The sequence below is a fragment of the Homo sapiens genome, chromosome 12 (genome assembly GCF_000001405.40).
Source record: "Homo sapiens chromosome 12, GRCh38.p14 Primary Assembly".
In the NCBI taxonomy this organism is placed as follows: Eukaryota; Metazoa; Chordata; class Mammalia; order Primates; family Hominidae; genus Homo; species Homo sapiens.
In genome coordinates, this window is record NC_000012.12 from 1,278,131 (window position 1) to 1,301,545 (window position 23,415).

The 23,415-nt window shown below is 37.3% G+C and overlaps 1 protein-coding gene across 54 annotated transcripts in view; it reads left to right on the top strand.

The window, feature by feature from the left end:
- The window catches only part of ERC1 (ELKS/RAB6-interacting/CAST family member 1), a 505,975-nt gene that overhangs the window by 288,172 nt on the left and 194,388 nt on the right, over positions 1-23,415 (top strand). For all 54 annotated transcript variants that reach the window (NR_027948.3, NR_027946.3, NR_027949.3 and 51 more), the window contains one exon: positions 11,722-11,882. Coding sequence is in view for 50 of the 54 variants with exons in the window: in XM_047428566.1 (XP_047284522.1) it covers positions 11,722-11,882 (161 nt within the window). In the remaining 4 variants the exon portion in view is untranslated. The remainder of the gene's footprint in view (positions 1-11,721; positions 11,883-23,415) is intronic.

Here is a 23,415-nt window from a genome sequence, read left to right on the forward strand (position 1 = left end):
CATTCTGCAATTGACAAGGGACTTCAAAAGCCAACAGGGCTGCCACTTCAAAGAGAATTCTGCCATCTCTGGCTTGTTGAAAGAAGTTGTTAAATGGCTGTACCCTGCCCTACCAGAAATCTCCATGTTTAGACTTCTCCTTCTTTTGATCTTTGAAAGATGTATGAAATGACTTAAGTTAGAGGAATGATAAAGTCTCTAGTAATGGCAACCCAGCACTCTGCATTTTGATCCATTTATTAATGGAAATTACCCAGATATGTTCTAATGACAGGAGGTTTAAAAACTCAATGTCTCAGAGAATGAATGTCCAAAAAAAGAGTTGAAATTTCATAGTATTGTTGTAGCCACCTTAAAAAATCTGGAAATAGTAGGGAAGAAAATGAAACTCAGTGTGTTTTTAAAACCTTCCATTTCTTCGTGTAATTTTTAGCCCTTTTAATGGAATCAGATTCTGAATATTGATAGATTAGAAAACAACACAAATCTTTAATCATAAGATTAAATTTCATGGTTAAAACGGACATTTCTCCACTTTTAGTAACTCTGTACTTAAAGTTTGAAGCTACCTTGTACTATATTTAAAGTTATATTCATCCCTTTCTGCTGAATACAATTTTAAAATAATTACCTTGTGTTTATCTTAAACAATAAAAAAAGCCTTAGAGTTTTAATAGAACCCTTAATAAAAGGTCAGAGTGCTAACAATCAAGGGAAAAGGCAGCAACATGAACTCTTTCTTTTAGAATACGGATAGCCCTAAAAGATGGAGTAATGTTTAGTATACTTGAAAAAGAAAGCAGAAAACTTTATAAATAATATAACAGTAAAAAAAAAGTGGAGATTTTATACTCAACATGAACTTGGAGTGTAAATTAGTTGGAATTTAAAATCCTTCTAAGTGAATGGCATGACCTTTTCCTAATTGTATGTTTTCTCTCTCATCCTATGTGTATAGGAAGATAAAGCTAAAGATCTTTAGATTCATTTGCCCTGATCTCCTATTTTCTTATTTCTCTTAAAATATCTCTTTACATAAAATTTTTAGAAATCGAGTTGACAGAAGCTTTAACGACTGTAACTTCCTCTATAATTTTACCAGATGGGGTCAGTAGATAACTACTAAAGAAATTCTGAAGCAGAACTGAAGCCCCCAGGAAATAACCCCATGACATAGTATGACCAAAAAATTCTCTAGAAACATGAGTAGTCGCTCTTCAAGTAATGCATTTGGATTTGTCTTTTTTTGTTGTTGTTATCTTAGTTTCTTCCTCTAGAAAAACCTCCAGAAAATTTTTTTGACAAAGTAGTACATGATATTACTGTCCTGGAAGTCCAGGAAATATCTATGCCTTTAAATTTAGGCTCGAGTTTTCATTTTATTCAGCAAAAGGACTGTATCTGTGTTTTCAAAAGTTAGAGCGATGTGAAAAAATTAAGTCCAGTGGAAACAAACCTTTGGCACATCCAAAATTAAACCCCAGAAATGACTGCCAGAAGTCTATGGATACTGGTTTTCAAAGCAGACTTTTTTTTTTTTTTAATTTTATTTTATTTTATTTATTTATTTTTTTTTGAGACGGAGTCTCGCTCTGTCGCCCAGGCCGGACTGCGGACTGCAGTGGTGCAATCTCGGCTCACTGCAACCTCCGCGTCCCGGGTTCAAGCAATTCTTCTGCCTCAGCTTCCCAAGTAGCTGGGACTACAGGCGTGCGCCACCATGCCCAGCTAATTTTTGTATTTTTAGTAAAGACGAGGTTTCACCATGTTGGCCAGGCTGGTCTCGAACTCCTGACCTCATGATCCACCCTCCTCAGCCTCCCAAAGTCCTGGGATGACAGATGTGAGCCACCGTGCCCGACCAGACATGTTTTTATACCCTATACTCTATCTAAACTGCAGAGCAACTTCTGTAGCAGGAAGCACTCTTGGAGTCTATGTGGTGGATCTATACCAAGGGATATATCGTTCGCTTGTAATGAGTTCTTGGGGTGTTTGGCTCTTATTTCTTTTCTCCTACTGAGAAGTTTGATAAACCAAGTTATTGATCATAGAAGCAGTCATCCAAGATACGGCTGAAAGTAAAGCCTTGGGAGCCAGATGGCTTCCCGCTGATTTTTATATGCAGTTTATATTCTCCTTGGCTGTGTCTTCCTGGATGTTTCAATGAAAGATATTTTTTTCTGGAGAAATGTGCACGGTGGGATTTATCCTATTCAACAGATAGTTTTTGTGTGTGTCATGTCCCAAGCCCTATTTGGACATTCAATTGTCCCTTCCTCTTGTCTCTACCCTCTTTAATAAATGAATAAAGATGCATTAAAATTAATGTAAAGTGCTTCGGATTAGAAGTCAAGTGACGTGGATTCTAATCCTTGTTCTGTGTACTAACAGTGATTTGGCATAAGTTTTGTAATCTCTCCAAGTATCTGTAATCTCACCTAGATGGAAGAAATTATTATCCCCACAAGTATCCACTCACCACCTCACATTGAGATAAGTATTTGCAAGGGTTTTAGTCGCTTACAAAGGCAGCATACAAGTGTTGAGCCTTATTATGGCCAAAATCACACACACACACCAGACATGCGCAAACATACACGTATCATATATGCACATACATACACATATTATACACGCACTTACGTGATGTTTATGAGTTTCCCTCTTGGTGTCCTAGGGTTACCAGACATAAAATCCCATCCTTTTACTTTTCTCCCTTGGCTAATAGTATACTTTTGATAAGGTCAAGTAAGTGTCATTTTATTTGCCAACATTGTGTTTCTAACAACTGTCCAGGGTTGTGTTGAAATAAATTTTCTCCACAAAATGTGTGTCTAATTAATGAAATGTCAACTTTATTTATTTCTAGGTGGCAGTTTGGTTTTTTTCACCATTGCAAATGAGAAGAATTAAAATTTCCAGTTAAAATGGCAGTGAACTTTTATTTTTGTTAAAAACTTAAGGAAAGTGTTTGAGTCTGTTTTACTCACATTATTTCATTTGATCTTAGAAGAAGGGCTGAATCCCTACATGGTCTGTTTTGTTTGCTGTTTTCCGAATAAAATGCAATAAATATTTTCTCCATTTGAGATGATCAGATTATTTAAACTAAGAAGGAAATTTCTTTCCAAAACCTGGACAAATTATATAGCCATTCAACACTTGCTTTATTCTATTGTGTTAACTCCCTAGCAAAGCAAAAAAAAAATGCCTTTTCAGAAGAGAAATTATCAGAGCTCAGAGTTCTAGGGATGGTCTTTGTCATTCCACCTCTATTCATATTTCATTTCCTAAATTAGACATTTGTCACAAACCCTAATGAAATATTAAGAGCTCTCAGACCCAGATGCAGAAGAAAGCATAAAATGGTGGTTGCCACATCTTCTTTGTTACTACTGCTGGAGGAAGAAAATGCAATCTATTACTTAGATTATTTCTGTCCTCCCTTCTTCCAGGAGCTTATGTGTACCCAGTAGATCATTAATTTTTTGTGTTAATTGATTCCATTACAATCTGTTGCTGAAATAAGCAAATCTTGGGAGATAAATAATATTTTGCTGTCAAAGCATGATGTAGGCTGACTTAAAAATAGAAAAAATGAAATAATATTCTGCTGAAAAGATAGTTTGTTTTCAGGGCATTAATTCAGGTATTTATTTTTTAGTTTTGATGCTGTGCTGTCAAAGTCACCTAAATAGAATTGGCAGTGATGAAACACTGGCCCGTCTTAGCCTCTTTCTAACATCAGTGACGCAAGATACTGAGGGTCATAGCAGCAGGGGGATGTTTGCTTTGAAAATGTGCATCCACATTTTATTGTGTCTTATTTTTCAAACCCTACTTAGGAGTGATGAGTGCTTATTACGGGATTTATCTTCCTAAGCCTTCTGAGTTGATTTTTTTTTTAAATAAAAGGAAAATTGAGATGGCTTGAAAAAGAAGCATTTCTTTCACACTGATACGTTTCCACTCTCTTTTAAAAAGAGTGGGAATGGGAACACTCCCCAGAGTGACTCATGAGATACCATTGTGGGTGATTTTGGTAAACACTGATACATGGTAGCAAAGCAGCGCTCAGTGTGTACAGCAGGATGGAGTCGGACTACTCAGCTTGGAATCCTAGCTTTGCTTTCTCTGTATGACCTCGGACAAGGCACTTAAACCCACTAACCCTGTTTCTTTTGCCATAAAAATGAGGATAATAATACTTTATACCCACCATATAGGATCATTTTGAGGCTTTAATGAGACAATACATCTAAAGCACTTAGAACAGTGTACTTCAAAGTAGACAAATAATGTAAGTAATTATTATTGCAATAACTATAGTTATTCCATAGTTATAAAATACTGTACTGCCGGTATATATCTTGTCAAAGAATTACCATGAGTTGGCAAAAAGAACGTATTGGAAAAAAGAGATTTCTAGTGTAAATGATAGCCTAAAGCTCTCTTGGGAAATGTAAATTCAAATTTTCATTAGCAATAGTTGTGAGATCCTCTAAAGGAATTTCCTAGGAAAGGATGATAGAATTTATGTATGTAGGTATATGTGTATATATGTTTTCACTAATACTTCAAAAATGCTCCTCCACTCAAGAGCTTGTTACCTTTTTTTCTTCATAATTATAAAACAGTAGGTTTTAATCTGGAACTTTGTTCTAGTCAGGGAAACCAGTGGACTTCTCAAGTGACAATCTGGCTTGCATGGTGACTGCTGAACCTCTGGATAATCTTTTTGTACCACTCCCTTTTTCTTCTAATTGTTTTCTTCTTGTGGAGACTTACGCCTTTTACTCTCCCAAGAGAGTATAACAAGATTTTCCATACGCATCTTGGAAACTACAAAAAGTGTTTTTCTCCTGGTTGTGGAACAGAAGAAGGTGGGAAACTTGAAGAAGCGGGCTTTGCCAGCCTCTGAAGCCCCCTGTTGTGCTGCTTTCTTAAGGAAAATAGGTCTGTGGTAAAGTCATAATTTGTTCCCTTCTTATTCTGAGCAAAAGTTTATTAGCTTGTGATTTAAGCAAACCATCTGGTCCTGCTGGCACTGCACACTGTCAGGCCCCGTGCTTTCTGCTTATTATGTTACTGAAGGCAGTTACATATTTGAGTCCCAGCTCTGGCCTGAGCTTTTCTGTGTTTTAAAACGTCTGCTTTTGAAAATTGTGCTGTGACCTGGAGTATATTTTTAAAGTGTGGATAAATTCTTCATTGTTTAGTATAGGATTTATCTCTTCTTTTCTTCTACTCATCGGTCTTTACCCTCGTTTCTCTGGCTGTACCCAATACTGTACAACTGCTCAGTGGTAGGCATGAAATGGAACCAAGTGATTCTAGCTGGAAGTGTTCTCCTGGATTGTGGAAACATAGCAGAAAATGAAGTAATTAAATTTGACTTTGAAACTGTTTCCCTGGCTTAGAGCCAGAGAGCAAATCAGATGATTGATTGGAAATACCAGGAATGTATGGTACCATTCTTGCCTTGAATACTAAAATGCTTTAGAACTTACTTGGATATATGTATAATCTGAGGCAGAAATACTTTGAGGGTCTCACACTCAAATGGATGGGAAAATTAAGCAATCTTTAAGAAAATGATTTTACTAACAGATAAAAATCTGAAAGGTAGAGATTTTTAAATTTTTTAACAATATGTAATAGTTGTACGTATTTATGGGGTACATGTGATATTTTGATATATGTGTACAATGTGTAATGATCAAATCTGGGTAACTGGGGTATCCATCACTTCTAACATCTATTATTTCCTTGTGTTGCAACATTCCAAATCTTCTAGCTATTTTGAAATTCACAATAAATGATTTAACTATAGTCTCCCTACTGTGCTATTGAACACTACAACTTACTCCTTCTATCTAACTGTATTTTTGTACCCATTAACCAACCTCCCTTCATCCCCCTCTCCCTCCTACCCTTCCCAGCCTCTGGTAACCACCATTCTGTTCACTATCTCCATGAAATCAAATTTCTTCTAGCTCCCACGTGTGAGTGAGAACAAGCAACATCTGTCTTTCCGTGCCTGGCTTGTTTCACTTAACATAATGTTCTCCAGTTCCATTCATGTTGCTGCAAATGACAGGATTTCATTCTTTTTATGGCTGAATAGTATTCGTGTGTGTGTGTGTGTGTGTGTGTGTGTGTGTGTGTGTGTGTGTATACATACCACATTTTATCCATTCATCCACTGATGGACACTTAGGTTGATTCCGTATTTTGGCTATTGTGAACAGTGCCACAGTAAACATGGGAGTGCAAATATCTATTTGATATACTGATTTCCTTTCTTTTGGATATATACCTAGTAGTGGGATTGCTGGATCATGAGAGAGTTCTATTTTTAGTTGTTTAAGGAAACACCATACTATTTTCCATAGTTGCTGTACTAATTTACATTCTCACTAACAGTGTATGAGTGCTCTCCCTTCTCTGCATCCTTGCCAGCATTTGTTATTTTCTGCTTTCTTGGTAATAGCCATTTTAACTGGGATGAGATAGTATCTCATTGTGGGGTTTTTTTAGGAGTGGTTTGAGGGAGAGACAGTGTCTTGTTCTGTTACCCAGGCTGGAGCGCAGTGGTGTGATCATAGCTCACTGCAGCTGCAAACTCCTGGGCTCAAGCAACCCTCCAGAATGGCCGAGACTACAGGTGTGCACTATCGTGCCTGGCTAATTTTTTGTAGAGATGAAGTCTCACTCTGTGGCCTAGGCTGGCCTCAAACCCCTTCCTCCTGCCTTGGCCTCCTGGAATTACAGGCATGAGCCACCACTCCCAGCTTCACTGTGGTTTTGGTTTGCGTTTCTTTGATGATTAGTGATGTCAAACATTTTTCATATAACTTTTGGCTTTATTTTTATGTCTTCTTTTGAGAAATGTCTATAGAGATCTTTTGCTCATATTTTAATCGAATTTTTTTTTGTTTGCTTTGGAAGTAAGAGTTTTGAATGAAGGGTAAAATGTGTCCTTAAACATGACAGACTTGATGCTGGGGAAGTAACTTTCACAGAAACAATTGAAGATAGTCAATAAAATTGCATTTATATCTTGGCAAAAAGGTAAGAAATTCTCAGGTCAGGGGATGAACAGGTAGGGAATTCAAAAATAAGTACTTGATAATTATTGAACATTGGGTTTTATATCTTCATAGGATAAAAGAAAAGATCAAGGCAGCCCAAGATAGTCAAGTGGGAAACCAAATCCCTGTCACTCTTTTATAAAACAAATCCACAAAGCCCAAAATTCATTCTTTGAAAACACCAAGAAAGTCAGCTGGTCTTTGGTGAGACTAAAAGAAAAAAGAAAAATGGCACAATGAACAATATTTATTTTAGAATGATAGAGGGTTCACAACTACTAGTCTTGTAGGTGCTAGAAAGATATAAAGATATCTTTGCCAGCACATTTGAAAATTTAGACTAAATGACCAAATGCCAGGAAAAATTGAACTTAGCAAAGCCAGCTAAATATGAAAAAGAAAACCTGAGAAAAATGAGGCAGTAATAAAAATTTTTCCTACAAATTTCAAGCCCAGAGATTTATATTGGTAACTTTTGGCAAATATACAAGGAGCAAATAATTTCAATCTTACAGACACAATTTGGAAATATAAAAGAGAGGGAACAATCACTCAACAACATATTTAATAAGGTTCACATAACTTTATATCAAAACTTTACAAGTTAATACAGGAAAAGAAAAGCTTAGGCCTGTCTCAATCCTGAACATGTAGAAAAATTCCTAAACATAATCAGACCAATCCAAAATTAGTGTACACAAAAAAGAAAAATGTGCATGAGCAAGTTTTATTCCAAGAGTTCAAGGTTGGCTTAACAGTAGAAAACTACTGTAATCCTGGCTAGGCGTGGTTAATTTTTTGTAGAGATGGAGTCCCAGCACTTTGGGAGGCCAAGGCAGGTGGATCACTTGAAGTCAGGAGTTCAAGACCAGCCTGGCCAACGTGGCAAAACCCCGTCTCTACTAAAAACACAAAAATTAACCAGACGTGGTGGTGCATACCTGTAATCTCAGCTACTTGGGAAGCTGAGGCAGGAGAATTGCTTGAACTGGGGAGATGGAGGTTGCAGTGAGCTGAGATCACTCCACTGCACTCCAGCCTGGGCAACAGGGCAAGACTCCATCTCAAAAAAAAAAAAAAAAAAGAAAACTAATTACTATAATCCATCACAGTAAAAGATGATAGAAGAAAAGTTAAGTGTTCATCTCAAGAAATGCAGAAAATTTAACATTCATTTATAATTTTCAAAAATTCTTAACTACCTAGCAATACAAGGGAATTTCCTTAACTTAATAAAGGGTATCTATTAAAAATTACACTACTTGTAGATAAAACTTATAAAGGATTCTTTTTAAAGATAGGAATAAAATAGAATGCATGCTATCACCATGTCTGTACAGCGTTGTAGTAGTCATTCTAGATTATGCAGCATGGCAAGTGAAAGAAGTGAATATTATAAGAATTACAAGAAAAGAAAGAAAACTACCATATTTGTCTATATAGTAAACTTCAAAATCTGTCAGTAAGAGCATTTAAGAAGACTGCTAGATACAGATTCAATTTCCGTAATCTGCACTGAACAGAAAATTTACATTTTTTGTAAAAACGATACTGTTTACTAGAAAATTAAGCATATAAAGTACCTAGGAATAAATATTATTAGGATGTTTAACATTTTAATGAGAAAAATTATTAAACTTTATGAAAGATATTAAAGTTCTAAAAATATATCTAGTTCATTACGTGTTCTAGAACAGTACCTGGCATATGATAAAATCTAAATATTTTTGCAGAAGTTCAAGAATAGCTAAGATGCTCTTGAAGAGAACAAGCTGAGACTTATTAGATATCAAGCCTTATAAAGTGATAATAATTAAGATAATGAATGTAGTATTGGTACAGGACTAGGCAAAAGAGTGGATCATAATAGAAAGTGCAGAAATATCCATGCTTGTGAGTATACTTGATATATATCAAAGGTTAAGATAGAATAGATTTTTAAATAAATGGTACTGCACATTGGCTATCCATATGGGGAAAAATGAAATCAGACCCCTGCCTCATACCATATACAAAAATGAATTCCAGATGGATTAAGGACTAAACATGAAAAGCAATACTTTAAAACTCTTACAAAGTTTATCAATCAGATATTGTATAACGAACAACCACAAAATATCAGTAGCATATTGTGATGGTTAACTTTATATGTTGACTTGACTGGCTACGGGGTGCCCGGATACTTGCTCCGACAGTATTCTGGGTGTTTCTGTGAGGGTATTTGGGGATGAGACTAACATTTAAGTCAGCAAAATTGAGTATAGTGGATTGCCCTCCCTGATGTGGGTGGGCCTTATCCAGTCAGTTAAAGGCCTGAGTAGAACAAAACTCTGATCTTTCCCAAGTGAGAGAGAATTCCCTCTGCCTGACTGCCTTCGAACTGGGACATTAGCTTTTCCTTGCATTCATTCAGACTCAGACTGAAACCCTGGCTCTTCCTGGGTCTGGAGCCTGCTCGCCTTCAGACTGGAGCTATACCATTGGCTCTCCTGGCTTTTCAAGCCTTTGGATTTGGGTTGGAACTATGCCACTGGCTTTCCTGGGTCTCCAGCTTGCCAGTTCACCCTATAGATCTTGTGATTCATGAGCCAGTTTCTTATAATAAGTCTTTATTTACACATATACACTCTGTTTCTCTGGAGAATTCTGACTAAGGTACAGACAATACCAAGCATTTATTTCTCGTTCACATACATGGAGGGTGAGCATGGTTGGCTCTGAGTTTTTTTGCAGAAATTGACAAGCTGATTCTCAAATTCACATGGAAATAAAAAGGAGCCAGAATAGCCAAAAACATCTTGAAAAAGACAACAGCTCAGATTTTCATAGAGATTATGTTGAACCTGTAGATCAGTATAGATTATGGTTCTTATCCATTACTGATTTTATGTTATAAAAACATAGCTTGGTGTATTATTTGTACCCAGTTTTAGATAAAATTTTACATGAATTAAACTGATAAAATGGAATCAATGGTATATGTTCATGTAAAGCTTGCAGATATGCAAATACATATCCCAGTATATTACATAGCAATATATTCTCTTTTTTGTTTGTTTGTTTGTTTAGTAGAGACAGGGTTTTGCCATGTTGGCCAGGCTAGTCTCGAACTCCTGACCTCAGGTGATCCACCGGCCTTGGCCTCCCAAAGTGCTGAGATTACAGGCACGAGCCACAGCGCCCGGCCGTAACAATATATTCTTATGGCAACTGGGACTGTGAGGATGCTGTTAGCTGAAGACATTTAACTTGCTCACTTCTGGAAGGATAAAAAAATTCAGGTGCCAAAAAAACTAAATGCATTTGCTTACTATCATTGTTTAACAGCTGTTACCAATCAACGTGGAAACTTTGTTTAGGTAGGAAGCACTAATTTCCAAGGGTCAGTGAAACAACTTTGATTTGTCATGCTGATTTTTGACTCTAGGTTTCTCTGTTTTAGTATCACACAAATGGGGTTTATGTAGGAGTCAATGAATGGCAAATGCCCCACCTCTACCTGCCCTACCTTCTACTTCTGAAAAGACTGGTTATTACCAAGATTATTTCTTGGCAATTAACAACCTAACATAAAGTCTTGTAATTGATGCAGTTGGCTGTTTGATTACATTTGCTTCTGAATTAAAATGAACAAGTTTATTTAAATAATTCTGATTTGGTAGCCACCTGGAATAAGTGGAAATTACTGATAAAGTACTTACCTTGCTCTCTTAGTTTCTTTTCCTTATGTTTTAGCATTTTGTCTGTCTTCTCTGGTGGCTTTTTGTTTGTTGTTTTTCAGGTCTGTTGCTGTCAAGGCTTTTTTTTTTTCCCCATGTCATTTTTAAAGCATTCTGTCTCCTTTCTATCTGGTATGTACACACACACACACACACACACACACACACACACACACACACACACATAACTATATAGGTATATAGGGATATATTTCCTTCCTGCCTATATAATATATAGTATATATATAATATATATATATACACTGCCTATGTAGTATATAGGTATATATATGCCTGTATAGTTATATAGGTATATAGGGTTATATTTCCTTCCTGCCTTCCTTAAAAAAGAAACCCTACCTACCTGGATTTAGAGCAAGAAATTGTCTGATTGAATTCTAGCAGTTTCTTTAAAAAGAAATTCTTCTTAATGATGTAAATAGGAAAATTTTAGTTTAGAGGACTAAAAATTATTCGTCTATGTATACAGGAAATCTGTTATTTGCCAAGTTTATGTCTTTTATTTCCTAAAATCGTTCTGTATATTTTTTTATATTTGTATTGTATTATTTCCATGGAAATTTCTGGGTCATTTCCAAAGAACTTCCTTAAAAGGTATTGTCTGTGGCAGCGTGCGACTTCTTAAACTGATAACTTGTATGCCCTTGCATGTATTAAGTTCTTTCTGACCTAAGCTGAAAAGAATTATACTGTAGGGATGTTATTATCTGCTATATTGATTCTTGATATATACACACACATAACTGATCCAGAAAGAGTACAGAATTTTCAATGTGTTCCTGCGTCTCTTCAATTTTCTGGACCCAGGAGTTGCGTGTTACCCAGGTCCTCTGACTCTGATTGATCAAGACACTCTGTTGTTCTCTTTCCCATATTTATGATAGGTGGAGGAGTTACTGATGGCCATGGAGAAGGTAAAGCAGGAACTAGAATCCATGAAAGCAAAGCTGTCCTCCACCCAGCAGTCTCTGGCAGAAAAGGAAACTCACTTGACTAATCTTCGGGCAGAGAGAAGGAAACACTTAGAGGAAGTTCTGGAGATGAAGTAAGTGTTTGTAGTCTTATTCTTCAAGCATATGCTTAGTGGAAATACTTTTTCTCCCTGCATTCATCTTCTGGCTCTGTGTTTTACCCCAATACACTTACTTAATTTTAGTGCTAACTTGTATTTCTCACTCTCTAGAATAAATTTGGTCAAAGGTGGAACAAATCCTGATCAAATAGAAATATTTTTGGTTCCTCTTTAATGATTTTTAAATCCTCTGGCTTATACATATCTGTGTGTAATTACCTCTCTGAAATTCCTAAAATCTTCTGGAAAGTTCAGGCAAAATGGCGAGCTTACTGGGGAAGAGGGCTGTTGGTTCTGAGGTTGTATGAAGACTAGGCAATTTTTAAACACATTTTTTATTGTAAACATTTCCAAAGGTACACACAGGTAGAGAGAATGAACCCCCATATACCTGTCTCCAAGATTCAGTAGTTACCATTTTGCCACACTGGAAGCCAATTTTTAGAAAATTGTCACTTTTAGCAGAGCTTTGCTATACACATTTTCCTGCTTCCCCCACATTTTGTAGGTTGCTGAGACCATAATCTGTTGTGAAGCATGTATACATCTGCTAATACATAGTAGATGTTTCTTTTACTTCTCAGTGACCTTCTGTTTAAAACAAACATGTGTCTTTTGAAAATCCAGTTGTACCCTCTCATTTACCATTCCTAATCCTTCCCCTTACCTAAAGACCCTACTGCTATTTTACTGAAACCAGGTCTATCCTGGGATCCCTCAGTTACCCTCAGTTACCCTCGTTCTGTGAGCAGTTATCTTTATTTTTGTTGTCTTCTTTTCTGTCTCAGAGAATAGGTTTTTTTCTCCTTCATAAGGCCAGATTCTTCTTTCTGTCACAGATTTCAAGTCCCCGCCTCAGCAGCCTTTCACTGTCAGTTCTTTCTCACGTGACCCTTGCTCACTTCTTCTCTGCATAAATGCACAGTCTGTCTTTGGCCTAAAATAAAATTTTTTCACTCCAACTAGTGCTTTAAACTGACATCAGTTTACTTTTCTGCTACTTTGAACTATCAGTAAACTTTGAATACCTGAATAATAGAGCTGTACAGAATCTTGCCATAATACCTTAGCATGAATTCTCATGGGACATGATGATTGTGATATTGTGACTGCAACCCAAGAATGTTGAGGTGTCCTCTGTGCTTTCACGTTCTTGGGCTATAGTGCAAGGCTACGAGATTCTGTCCTTTTAGAAAAGCATTATGAGTGATATGTCTTGGAAGTAATGTGTAAGTGAAGCCGGAAGTGGATTGGCATAGGGGGAGAATTAAGAGAGGTTAGAGTTCCGAGTAGCATCATCAGAAAAAAGCTTGCAGGTTTAAGTAGAGAAAGGAAAGTCCTCCCTGTGACTGTTGGCAATGACACTAGATTCTTCACTCTGTAGTCACTGCAGGACCCACCATATTTTAAAGGTTTAAATTATTCAATTATTGATCATTGAACAAGTGAAAAGATTTAGTCTACCTAGAGAACTTGAGAGGCAGAAATATGAGGGGAATGAAGTGTGCAGGGAGACTGAAACATGCGTATGTGTGACTCTGGAGCTAGAATAAGACAGAGTCTTCCCTCAGGAAAAGGTAGTTGGCCCATTTGCATAGAAAATTCTTCAGCAAAGCACTAGAATAGCTTTGTTTTCTGGAATAATCCTGACTTCATCAAGCCAAGAGAAATGATTTAATAGCTATTTTCCATTCCTAGCATATATTAATGTAATTTTTGAGCGTCTGTTACAGATAAATGGTGACCGTAAGTTTGGGGAGACGTAAAACGGTTCACTTGGTAGCCTGCCAGTGGTGCATTGGAAACATTTGCGTTGGTTATAGCCAGCCCTGGAGAGGAGGAACGTTTTAATTGGCAGATCCCACAATGGGTCTTCTCTTCCTTATGCTGTGGTTTTGTTAACCATTACTTTTTTATTCCACTTTTATGTTAGCGTTTTTCCCTTAAGAAAGAAAGGATAAAAGGGAGCAGGGGAAAAATAATAAAATAACAACTGTAATAACTGTAATAAATTTTAAGTATCAGTTGAGGTCATGAGGTTCACTGTTAAGAATTCTAGATGAACTAGTTCATTCGACACTGCCCTGCATTCAAACTCCTCCTGCAGGCCCACCCTACATTAGCATTCAGAATAAATTTTACAAGTCCATTTTTTATTTTTAATAAAATTTTTATTAAGCTGTGAATTTGACTGCCCTGACAACTGGTTTGTTCAGGGAAGGGGTGGCAGAGCTCTTTGGTTTCATTGAGAGTTTAGAGCTATTCAATAGGTAGCCTCCTATATGCAGGCAGTTAGTTGTAAGTCATTCAAAGAATGAAACCAACGAGTAGAAGTTAAATCACTATACTCATTGGGAGCTTAAAAAATAAATAAATATGATTTAAAAGATGATGTCAACACAGGTGAAAAAGGAAAAATATTAGAATCTCCTGAACTGACTAGACAGACATGTTTAGAAGACTGGTCTTCTCTGGAAACAAGTAAAGCTGGCAGAGAAATCCAAATATCTCTGTGTTAAATTATATACTCATGAGATGCTTTCTGGCCAAAAAAAGGTCTCCCACAAACAGAGAATAAATTTTCATATGTACCTAAGAAGAGTCCAGTACTAAATTCTGACATTTAAAAAATTATTGACTGTTAGGAGAGAAAAGTAGAGTACAATTGTGATTAAGAGAGCTGTTAACAGGCCGGGCACGGTGGTTCACACCTGTAATCCCAACACTTTGGGAGGCCGAGGCGGGTGGATCACCTGAGGTCAGGAGTTCTAGACCAGCCTGGCCAACATGGTGAAACCCCGTCTCTACTGAAAATATAAAAAATTGGCTGGACGTGGTGGCTCACGCCTGTAATCCCAGCACTTTGGGAGGCCGAGGCTGGTGGATCACAAGGTCAGGAGTTTGAGACCATCCTGGCCAACATGGTGAACCCTCGTCTCTACTAAAAGTACAAAAATTAGCTGGGTGTGGTGGCGCACACTGTAATCCCAGCTACTCTGGAGGCTGAGGCAGGAGAATCACTTGAACCTGGAAGGCGGAGGTTGCAGTGAGCTGAGATTGCACCATTGCACTCCAGCCTGGGTGACAGAGCAAGACTCCATCTCAAAAAAAAAAAAAAAAATTAACCAGGCATGGCTGGGCACGGTGGCTCATGCCTATAATCCCAGCACTTTGGGAGGCTGAGGCGGGCAGATCACGAGGTCAGAAGATTGAGACCATCCTGGCTAACACGGTGAACCCCGTCTCTACTAAAAATACAAAACATTAGCCAGGCGTGGTGGCGGGCGCCTGTAGTCCCAGCTACTCGGGAGGCTGAGGCGGGAGAATAGCATCAACCCAGGAGGCGGAGCTTGCAGTGAGCTGAGATCGTGCCACTGCACTCCAGCCTGGGCGACAGAGCAAAACTCCATCTCAAACAACAACAACAACAACAACAACAATTAGCCAGGCGTGGTGGCGTGCGCCTGTAATCCCAGCTACTCAGGAGGCCGAGGCAGGAGAATCACTTGAACCCAGGAGGCGGAGGTTGCAGTGAGCCGAGATCGTGCCATTGCACTCCCGCCTGGGCAACAAGAGTGAAACTCTGTCTCAAAAAAAAAAAAAAAATTGTGGGGTTGTTCACATTCTAAAAAAATCTCATTAGGGATTTATGACATGGTGTTCCAAATTAACCACAAAATTGTAAATAGTTAACCAAATTATATCCTAGTAACAATTTAGGGGGGAAAATAAAAATGAAAATGCATTCTGAGTTACATAAGAGCATGTTTACTCTTCACAAAGCCATATTTATTTATACTTCCACCAAAAGCCATTTTTTTTAAGTCTGTAGACATATGATAAAGGACTTTTAGTGGACTTGGAAGCATTTTTCACAATGGGCTAGAATACTGAGGTTGAATGTTATGTAGGAAACCCACATAATATAAAATTATTTTACACTTGAAAAAGAAAACAATATGTTGTACAGTATAGCTATAAACAAATAGCATTGGTGGGTCTGGGACTAGTTAAAATTATGAAGCAAAGTTTATATCTACAATCAACTATCCCTTGGGACTCCTCCTCAGTTTTGCTTAACTCTCTCATTCTGCTTCCCTTTTTTCTGCCCTGATATTCAGTGCTTTTATACGGCCCACCCTATAGACATTTCTTTACTTTCTTGTGACATGAATTGGAATAAATTACAAATAACCCTAAATGTTCTTTGCCTTTCTCCTTCTTTAAATTTTAAACTTATTCCACATTTTAGCTTTTTAAGATCAGACATAACTTCCAAATAGAAGAAACCATGTTTAAAAAAAAATCCATGCTTTTTAATCATTTTCTTATGTAAAAAGCCTCAAGTGGCTGGAATAAGGTCTAAGTAACAAATAAAGAACTAAACTTTTCAGATAAAGGCTCCGAAAGTCCCTCTTGTTTTCAGCTTTCAAAATTCTTTCTCTCTCTCTATCAATATATGGTTCACGTGTAAAAATGTGCTTACCTGTGTAGGGATGAAATTAAGACTGTCTGTCATCTACTCCTCACAAAAGGAAGGAAGTGAGATTATTGTCCTACTTTTTCCTTATCTTTTCTTTTTTTCTCTGTTGGAGGTATAGGATCAACCCTCATCCCTTTTGTTAAATATAAATGAATCATTTAAAAGGTTAATTATTGTAGGTAGGTAACCTGATGCGTTAACCTAATTGCAATACCCAGTTGAAGAAAATCTGATATATAATTTACCAGTATGGCAGGTTTTTTTGGTTTTGTTTGGATTTTTGATGTTTTTTGTTTTTTAATTTTCCTTTCAGGACCATCTTTTTCATTGTTCTCCAGAGTGTACCTTATAGGTAGCTACTCACTCTCCAAATAGGTAAAACTCCCCTCAAGCTATGGATGTCAAAGATAGTAATCTATCCATTTAATCATAAGCTTTTCTTCCAGAAGTTACTGAATGAAAGAGGATTAGAAGATGGTCTGTGTAGCAAAGGATTTGCTTACATTTTGGGCCAGTTTGCTTACCCGTGAAGCAGGCATAGTAAGACTTAGACCCACCTCATGAAGTTGTTGTACGGATCAAATGAGATTTTAAAAAAGCACGTTGAAGTTGGTAAAGCTGAATGTGCTTGCAAAGCATGACATTTACAACTGAAAATCCAATTTGTGCTTTTGTGTTCGTACCTGGAGAAATCACTTAGCTTTTCAGGTCTGCAGTTTTCTCACTCAGATTCGAAAGGTCCCCCATCGATTTAAAAATTGTGGACTTTGGCCAGATGACCTCCTGAGGTCCCCTGATTCTGTAGTTGTAAATGTCCTGTGTAAATCAGGGAAGTAATTCATATACAAGCACAGTATACTGAGGAGAAGTTGGAAGCCAGGTATCATGATTCCTGGCTGAGGACTAGGCTACGTGTTCACTGAATGAGACTGCCCAAGGCTTACCAGAGATTAGATGCTACAGAATGAGAGTGGAATTGTAATATTAGAGATAGAGCCGTGGGGAATCTGGAGTTCCAACCCAGTCAACATGGAGAAATCCTTGTTAACTTCAGTTATCTAGCTGAGATAACACAAAAGATAGGTTTGAGGAACAAGGACCATGCTCTAATATAAGGCCTACTCTAGACCCAGGCTAAGACTAGTAAAAGAAGGCCCCAATTAATTCTTACAGGGTAGACCAAATTTGGACAATGAGTCTCACCGAGATAGAGAAGCCTGGGAAATATCCTGAGCTTTCAGCAGATCAGCATACCAAAGGTTAAATCCAAACCTATACAAGTTCAAGGAGTCAACTATTAACTGACTTATATGTACTAGAATAAAAATCACTGCTCCTCAGAAGAAATTAACAGAACCATATTTGCAATATATCCCATGTTGAACTTTTAATTACCAGACATGCAAAGAATCAGGAACATATGATCTATAGAGCAGAAAAGAGCATGCAGTAGAAATCACCTCTGAGGAGTCCTATTTGGTTTAACAGAAAAAAAAAAAAAAAACAACTAAATTCACCCTTATACATTAAAGAATTAAAGAAAAATGTCATGTTGATGATGGAATAGATAGGAAATCTCAACAGAGAAAGGAAAAGTATTTTAAAATGGAAATTTGACATAGTGAGAACCTGTCTCTACAAAAATGTTTTTAAATACCAGCCAGGTGTGGTGGTGCACACCTATAGTCCCAACTACTTGGGAGGGTGAGGTGAGAGGATTGCTTGAGCCTGGGAGATTGAGGCTGCAGTGAACTTTGATTGTGCCAGCATACTCCGGCCTGGGCAACAAAATGAGACCCTATCTCAAAAAAGTAATAATCATAAAATGAAAATGGAAATTTGATAATTGAAATAGAAATGAAACATTTATTGGATAGTCTTTTTTTTTTTTTTTTTTTTTTTTTTTTTGAGATGGAGTGTCGCTCTTGTCCCCCAGGCTGGAGTGCAGTGGCGCCATCTCGGCTCACTGCAACCTCCGCCTCCTGGGTTCAGGCGATCCTCCTGCCTCAGCCTCCCGAGTAGCTGGGATTACAGGCATGCGCCATCACAGCCAGCTAATTTTGTATTTTTAGTAGAGGCGAGGTTTTTCCATGTTGGTCAGGCTGGTCTCAAACTCCCAACCTCAGGTTGGCCTCCCAAAGTGCTGGGATTACAGGCGTCAGCCACCGTGCCCAGCCTATTGGATAGTCTTAATGGAAAATTAGAGCTGTCAAAAGAAAGAGTCAGTGAACTTCAAAATAGATCAATTGAAATTATTCAATCTGTAGAACAGGGAGTGAAAGGATTTTTACCGAATGAACAGAGCCTCAGTGACATGTAGGACAATTTCAAATGGGTTAACATACATGTGGAACACTAGAAGGATAAAAGAGTGAGAATGAAGCAGATGAAAGACAGTTTTTAAAAATGGCCAACATATTTCTATAATTTAATTTGAAACCATGAATCTTTGATTTACAAATCCCAGAAACTAAGTGAAACCAAGCAGGATAAATACAAAAAATAAAAAAATCACAACTAGAAATACCATAGTCCAGTTGCTGGAAACAAAATATGCAGAGAAAAATAAAAGCAGCCTAAGAAAAAAGGCACAGTGCATAAAGGGAAACTATGATAGCTGAGTCCTTATCAGAAACAGTGAGGACCTGAAGACAATGGAACTTCTTTCAGGGTACTAAAAAAAAAAAAAAAAATTAGCCTAAAATTCTGTAAGCAAAGAAAAAGATCCTTTAAAAACTAGGATTAAATAAAGACAATTTCATATAAACAAATATGAAAAGAATTCATCTCTAGAAAGCACTCTAGAAGAAATGCTAATGAGTGTTCTTCAAGCTGAAGGGAAATGAATCCAGATGGGAGCATGAATCTACAGGAAGGAATGAAGAACACCAGACATGGGCCGGGCACTGTGGCTCATGCCTGTAATCTCAACGCTTTGAGAGGCCAAGGTGGGAGGATCACTTGAGTCCAGGAGTCTGAGACCAGCCTAGACAACATGACGAAACCCTGTTTCTACAAAAAAAAAAAAAAAAAAAAAATTAGCTGAGGATGGTGGCTCATACTCTTGTTCCAATTACTTGGGAGGCTGAGACTGAGGATTCCTGGGCCCAGGACACGGAGGCTGTAGTAAGCCAAGATCACACCACTGCACTCCAGCCTGGGTGATAGAGTGAGACTCTGTCCCCCTGCCAAAAAAAAAAAAAAAAACACAGACATGGTAAATCAGTTGATACATATAGAAAATGTATTTTTTCTTCTCAGAATTCCCTTAAAAGACAACTAACCATTTAAAGCAAAAATAACATGATGAGTTGGCATTTATAATATGTGTAAAAGTGAAAGATGGGACAACAGTATCCCAAAATATTAGGAGGTAGAATTGTAAGGTTCTTACGTTCGTGAAGTAGAAAATATGAACTGTTGGCTGGGCATGGTGACTCATGCCTGTGATCCCAGTGCTTTGGGAAGCTGAGACTGGAGGATCACTTGAGCCCAGGATTTTGAGTTTACACTGAGTTCTGTTTGTGCCACTGCACACTAGCATGGTTGACAGAGTAAAACCTGGTCTCTAACAAAAAAAAGAAGAAAGGAAAGAGAGAAAGAAAGATAGATTACGAAGTGTTCGATGTGAAGTAGTACAATTTCTAATCTAAATAGACTTTGATAAGGTGCATGTTGTTAGCTGTAGAGCAACTACCAAAATAATAACAACAAAAATTTTAAAAACCCTGAAGAGCGGCCAGGCACCATGGCTCAGGCCTGTAATCCCAGCACTTTGGGAGCCCAAGGCGCACGGATCACTTGAGGTCAGGAGTTTGAGACCAGCTTGGCCAACGTGGTGAAACCCCCATCTCTACTAAAAATACAAAAACTAGCCGGGTGTGGTGGCGGGTGTCTGTTATCCCAGCTACTCGGGATTCTGAGGCAGGAGAATTGCTTGAACCTGGGAGGCAGAGGTTGCAGTGAGCCAAGATGGCGCCACTGCACTCCAGCCTGGACGACAGAACGAGACTCTGTCACAAAAAAAAAAAAAACAAACAAACAAAGAAAAAGCACCTGAAGAGCTAACAGAGGAAATAAAATGCAATGCTAAAAATTGTTTCATTTATCCAACCAATAAAGGCAGAAAAGGAACAACAAATAAAGAACAGAAACAACAAATGAATGACATAAATTCAACCATATCAATATTTATGGCAAAATGAAATATAGTAAACACACCAAGTAAAGGACAGAGATACTAGATTAGAAAAAAAAAAGCAAGGCTCAACTGTATGCTGTACATAAGACCTGTACTATCATAAACACTGGCTGGAATTAACGGAAAAAGGTACTTCTTGGAAATAGTAATCCTAAGAAACCTGGCATAGCTATATTAATATCAGACAAAGAGTATTCCCAGAGATAAGAAAAGACCATATAATAAAGATAAAGGGGACAACACATCCAAATGACATAATAATCCTAATAAATATATATCTAATAGAGCTTCAAAATTCATGAAGGACAGACCGACAGAACTAAAGGTAAAACAAATCTGTGGTCACCAGTCATTACTGGGGATTTTGACCTCTATTCCTTAGAAACTGATAGAATTACTAAACAAACAAAAGCAATCAGAAATATAGAAGATCTAAAGACTATTAACTTGACTTATTTAACATTTATAGAATACTACATCTAACAACTGAAGAAAATATATGTTTTTTAAGTGCATATGGAAGTTTCACAGATACAGACCATATGCTGGGCCTTAAAAGTAAGTCTCAGTAAATTTCAGAAGACTGAGATATGCTAAAGTTGTTCTCTAACCACAGTAGAATTCAGTTAGAAGTTAATAAGATACTTAGAAAATGTTTGGAAATTAGATAACATAATTCTAAATACCATGGCTTAGAGAAGAAGGAATGTTAGGACTCGTTTTGAACTGAATGAAAATTCAAATGTGAAGTTTTGTGTTTCACAGTTGAAAAAGTGGTTAGAATGAAATTTTTACCCTTATATACCTGTATTAGAAAAGAAGAAAAGTTGAAATTCATTGATCTTAGTTTCTACACTAAGGTACCAGAAAAAGAAGCAGAGTAAACCACAGTAAGTAGGATAACGGAAATATTAAAGATAACAGAAATCAAACACATAGAAGACAGAGAATCAACAGAAAATTCACAAAATTCATAACCGGGTTCTTTAAAGAATTAAAAAAAAATTGATAGGTCCCTACCAAATGGATCAAGGGAAACAGGAAGGCACATGAATTGCCAATACCTGGAACGAGAGAGGGGTTATCACTCCAGTTTCTAAAGACACGTAAAAAGATAAGACAATATTTTGAGCAAACTTATACCAATAAATTTAATAGACAAAGTCTTTGAAAAATACAATTTATTAAAACTGGCTCAAGAAGGAATAGAAAAGTGAGCAGGCCTTTATCTATTAAAGAAATTGAATTTGTCATATGGAACCAAAAAAGAGCCCAAATAGCCAAGGAAATCCTAAGCAAAAAGAACAAAGCTGGAGGCATTATGCTACCCAACTTCAAACTATACTACAGGACTACAGTAACCAAAACAGCATGGTAGTGGTAGTAAAGCAGACACACAGAGCAAAGGAACAGAATAGAGAACCCAGAAATAAGGCTGTACACCTACAACTATCTGCTCTTCCACCAACCTGACAAAAACAAGCAATGGGGGAAAGGATTCCTTATTCAATAAATGGTCCTGGGATAACTGCCTAGCCATATGCAGAAGATTAAAACTGGACTCTTTCCTTACACCATATACAAAAATCAACTCAAAATGGATTAAAGACTTAAATGTAAAACCCAAAACTATAAAAACCCTGGAAGACAACCTAGGCAATACCATGGGCGCGGGCAAGGATTTCATGACAAAGACGCCAAAAGCTGTTGCAACAAAAACAAACAATGACAAATGGGATCTAATTAAACTATAGAGATTCTGGACAGCAAAAGAAACTACCAAGAGAGTAAACAGACACCCTACAGAATGGGAGATAATTTTTCCAAATTGTGTGACAAAGGTTTAATATCCAGCATCTGTAGGGAATTTAAACAAATTTACAAGAAAAAAACAACCCCATTAAAAAATGGGCAAAGGGCGTGAACAGACACTTCTCAAAAGAAGACATACATGTGGCTAATGAGCATATGAATAAAAGCTCAAAGTCACTGATTATTAGATAAAATGCAAATCAAAACCACAATGAGATACCATCTCATGCTAGTTGGAATGGCTGTTATTACAAAGTCAAATAACAGATGCTGGTGAGGTTGCAGAGAAAAAGGAACTCTTACACACTGTCGGTGGGAGTATAAATTAGTTCAACCATTGTGGAAGATGATGTGGCGATTCCTCAAAGACCTAAAAACAAATACAGTTTGATCCAGCAATCCCATCACTAGGTATGTACCCAAAGGAATATCAATTGTTCTATCATATATACATCATGAAATATTACTCAGCCGTTAAAAGTAACGAAATAATGTTTTTTGCAGCAACTTGGATGGAGCTGGAGGCCATTATTCTAAGTGAAGTAACACAGGAGTTAAAAACCAAAAGCCTTATGTTCTCACTTATAAGTGGGAGCTAAGCTATGAGTATGTAAAGGCATACAGAGTGATATAATCGACTTTAGAGACTCCGAGGGGGTGGGGGAGGGAAGATATGGATAAAAATCTATATATTAGGTACCACGTGTATATAGTACTCAGTTGATGGGTGCACTAAAATCTTAGAATTCACCACTGTATAACTCAGTCTTGTAACAAAAAAACACTTAAACCCCAAAAGCTATTTGAAATAAAACAAGACACATGTACACATATGTTCATTGCAGCACTGTTCTCAATAACAAAGACATGGAATCAACCTAAATGCTCATCAGTGGTGGACTGGATAAAGAAAATGTAGTGCCCATACACCATGGAATATTGTGCAGCCATAAAAACGAACAGGATCATGTCTTTTATAGGAACATGGATGGAGCTAGAGGTCATTATCC